The sequence below is a fragment of the Homo sapiens genome, chromosome 19 (assembly GCF_000001405.40).
Source record: "Homo sapiens chromosome 19, GRCh38.p14 Primary Assembly".
Classification (NCBI taxonomy): domain Eukaryota; kingdom Metazoa; phylum Chordata; class Mammalia; order Primates; family Hominidae; genus Homo; species Homo sapiens.
The window spans coordinates 16474423-16479060 of record NC_000019.10 but is presented as its reverse complement, the minus strand read 5'-3'; positions in this window follow the sequence as shown (position 1 = coordinate 16479060).

Genomic DNA, 4638 nt, shown 5'->3' with positions numbered 1-4638 from the left:
TGTCTACATGGCACTTTGTCCAATTTTCTTTGAACAGTGTTTCATGCTTCTGGGTGGGGTAGGTTGTATCTCCCCTGGTGACCCCCTTGCACTGAGAAGTTCCCTCTTGACAATTTTACACACTGGAAGCCAGAGGCCAGCAAGGGTCTGGCCAAAACCATGATCCCCTTTTCTTAACTCCCAAAAGTCTTTTTATAAAATAAAAGTTGACCAGGCAGTGTGCCTCACGCCTATAATCCCATCACTTTGGGAGGCTGAGGTGGGCGGATCACTTGAGCCCAGAGTTCAAGACCAGCCTGGCCAACACAGTGAAAACCCGTCTCTACTAAAAATACAAAAAGGAGCTGGATGTGGTGGTGCGCACCTGTAGTCCCAGGTACTTCAGGCTGAGGCTGGAGGCAGCCTCAACCTCCTGAGTAGCTGGGACTACAGGCGCCCGCCACCACACCCGGTTAACTTTTTGTATTTTAAGTAGAGATGGGGTTTCACTGTGTTAGCCAGGATGGTCTTGATCTCTTGACCTCGTGATCCGCCTGCCTTGGTCTCCCAAAGTGCTGGGATTATAGGCATGAACCACTGCAGCCAGCCATATTTTTTGTTTTTTAATTTAATTTTTATAGGGATGGGAGTCTCACATGTTGCCCAGGCTGGTCCTGAACTCCTGGACTCAAGCCATCCTCCCACCTTGGCCTCTCAAAGCTCTGGGCTTACAGGTGTGAGCCACTGCTCCTGGCCCAGTCTTCTTCTGGAAGAGGCCCATAATCATACTGAAACTCATGATGAAAATAATCAAATTTGTGACACCAGAAATTTGGAATCTAGTGATGTTATGAATAAGCCAAATAAATTGGAATTTATATACAGAATATTGAGAGTTGACCAGTGTGGGCCGGGTGCAGTAGCTCACACCTGTAATCCCAGCACTTTGGGAGACTGAGGTGTGTAAATTGCTTGAGTCCAGGAGTTCAAGACCAGCCTGGGCAATGTGGCGAAACTCTGCCTCTACAAAAAATACTAAAAATTAGCTGGGTTTGGCGGTGCACACCCGTGGTCCCAGCTATTCGGGAGGCTGAGATGGGAGGATCACCTGAGCTTGGGAGGTGGAGATTGCAGTGAGCTGAGATTGTGCCACTGCACTCCAGCCTGTGTGACAGAATGAGACCCTACCTCAGAAAAAAAAAAAAAAAAAAGAGAAAGAAAGAAGAAAAGAAAAAAAAGAAAGTTGATCAGTTTCAAAAGCCTGGCTGGGAAGTGAAGTTCTGCAGAATTTTGCTCTCACTCTGGTCAATGTTGGCAGACCTTTGCACCTGGATTTTTTCTGATGGTGGCTACATCAACCTTCACCAATTATTAGGGATTGATTATTACTCTGAGAAACTAAAGACTCCCTTCCTCCTAATGCAAGGGTGGCAAACATTGCCTACCTCTTTCACCTCTGAACAGGGTGAGTAGTGTGAAAAGAATCAGAGGCAGACCTGGAGAGAAAGTGCTGGTACCAATTAGTGTACAAAGGTGAGTCAGGCCAGGTGTAGTGGCTTGTGCCTGTAATCCCAGCTATCTGGGGGGTCAAGGAGGGAGGGTCACTTAAGACCAGGAGTTTGAGACCAGCTTGGGCAACATAGAGACCTTGTCTCTAAAAAAAATTTTTTTTGTAATTAGCTGGGCATGGAGGTACATGACTGTGGTCCCAGCTACTTGGGAGGCTGAGATGGGAGGATCGCTTGAGTCCAAGAGGTCAAGGCTGCAGTGGGCTATGATCGTGCCACTGCACTCCAGCCTGAGTGACAGAGCGAGACCCCCTCTCTAAAAATAAAATAAAGTGGAGCTAACAAGACAAAAAACGGTGAGTGAGACTGGCTCAGGCTCTGAAGATTCGTTGGGAGCAGCGTTGTCCGAGAGAATTTGTCACATGTTGCTTTTTTTGTTTGTTTGTTTTTGAGACAGAATCTTGCTCTGTTGCCCAGGCTGGAGTTCAGTGGCGCAAGTATGGCTCACTGCAACCTCTGCCTCCTGGGTTCAAGCGATTCTCATGCCTTAGCCTCCCAAGTAGCTGGGATTACAGGCATGCGCCATGCCCATCTGAATTTTGTATTTTTAGTAGAGATGGGGTTTCGCCATGTTGGCCAGGCTGGTCTGGAACTCCTGACCTCAAGTGATCTGCGTGCCTCAGCCTCCCAAAGTGCTGGGATCACAGGCGTGAGCTACCATGCCGGGTCACGTGTTGCTATTGAGCTCTTGAAATGTGGCTAGTGGGACCAAGAAATGACTTTTTAATCTTATTTCATTCTAGTTAACTTCACTTTAAACTTTGTTAGAGGAAAAACTCTGGACATATTAAATTTCATGGAGTGTAACTGAGCAAAGAACAATTCATAAATCAGGTAGCTGCCAGAGCAACTCCATCTTGAATAGGGGCTTAGTAAAATAAGGCTGAGACCTACTGGGCTGCATTCCCAGGCGGTTAAGGCATTCTTAGCCACATGATGAGATAGGAGGTCAGCACTAAAGACCTTGCTGATAAAACAGGTTGCAGTAAAGAAGCCGGCTAAAACCCACCAAAACCAAGATAGTGATGGGAGTGACCTCTGGTGGTCCTCACTGCTACACTCCCACCAGCGCCATGGCAGTTTACAAAGGTCATGGCAACATCAGGAAGTTACTGTATATGGCAGCCTGAAAAGGGGGCCGGGCGCGGTGGCTCACGCCTGTAATCCCAGCACTTTGGAAGGCTGAGATGGGTGGATCACGAGGTCAGGAGATCGAGACCATCCTGGCTAACACAGTGAAACCCTGTCTCTACTAAAAATACAAAAAAATTAGCCGGGCGTGGTGGTGGGTGCCTGTAGTCTCAACTACTCGGGAGGCTGAGGCAGGAGAATGGCGTGAACCCGGGAGGCGGAGCTTGCAGTGAGCCGAGATCGCGCCACTGCACTCCAGCCTGGGTGACAGAGCGAGACTCCGTCTCAAAAAATAAATAAATAAATACATAAATAAGTAAAAAGGGAAGGCATGAATAATCCACCCCTTGTCTAGCATATCATCAAGAAATAACCATAAAAATGAGCAACCTGGCCAGGCACAGTGGCTCAAGCCTGTAATTCCAGCACTTTGAGAGGCCGAGGCAGGCGGATCACTTGAGGTTGGGAGTTCAAGACCAGCCTAACCAACATGGAGAAACCCCACATCTACTAAAAATACAAAATTAGCTGGGCGTGGTGGTGCATGTCTCTAATCCCAGCTATTCAGGAGGCTGAGGCAGGAGAACCACTTGAACCCAGGAGGTGGAGGTTGTGGTGAGCTGAGATCCCGTCATTGCACTCCAGCCCTGGCAACAACAGTGAAACTTCTCCCAAAAAAAAAAAGCAACCAGCAGCCCTTGGGGCTGCTCTATGAAGTAGCCATTCCTTTATTCCTTTACTTTCCTAATAAACTTGCTTTCACTTTACTGTATGGACTCGCACTAATTCTTTCTTGGGTGAGATCCAAGAACCCTCTCGGGGTCTGGATCAAGACCCCTTTGCGGTAACAGTACAAAGGGTCTGATTGTGAGAAGTGGCAGGGATCACTGGAACTCCACTTCAGATCCCATCTGGATCATCAAAACATCAACCCTAAATAAATAAATTCAGGAAATATGGTTAAATATAGAGTTTAGTTTAGCACAAAAGTTTGAGGACGGCCACCCTGGAACACAGATTCCAAAGAATGGAAATCAGCATTCCAAACTGAGGAAGTTTGGGGGTCATTTATATAGGTAAGGTTTGGGAAGCTTGACAGCGTTTCTACATATTTCACACAAGGCAAGTACATAGTTAACAGTAATCTGATTAGTCAAGGCAGTGGTCTTTTTGGGAAGGGTATATTTAACATTCACATAGAGGACATAACAGTCACAGGACCTTTTGCACTATCTGGTCTGATTTAGGTGCAAGATAATAGAGGAAAGGTCAGCAATGAAGAAGGGCGATCTTAACGCTGATGCCATTTAGTCTTGAAATGAATCTACAGAGCAAGAACAGGAGAGTTAATCTATAATCTATAAGCAGAAGTTGTAGTTACATGCTGTCTGGCTCAGATCACACAGTCCCGTTTTCTTCAAGGCTCAACATAATTCTTAGGGTTCAAAAGTGTATGATTAAGTTTGGATTTTTTTTTTTTTTTTTGAGACGAAGTTTCTGTGTTGCCCAGGCTGGAGTGCAGTGGCGCGATCTCGGCTCACTGCAAGACCCGCCTCCTGAGTTCATGCCATTCTCCTGCCTCAGCCTCACAAGTAGCTGGGACTACAGGCACCCCCCACCATGCCCGGCTAAATTTTCGTATTTTTAGTAGAGATGGGGTTTCACCATGTTGGCCAGGATGGTCTCGATCTCCTGACCTCATGATCTGCCTGCCTCGGCCTTCCAAAGTGTTGGGATTTCAGGCGTGAGCCACCATGCCCGGCCTTTTTTTTTTTCTTTTTTTTCTTCTGAGACGGAGTTTTGCTCTTGTTGCCCAGGCTGGAGTGCAATGGTGCGATCTTGGCTCACTGCAACCTCCCCATCCCAGGTTCAAGCAATTCTCCTGCCTCAGCCTCCCGAGTAGCTGGGATTACAGGCACCCGCCACCACGCCTGGCTAATTCTTGTATTTTTAGTAGAGA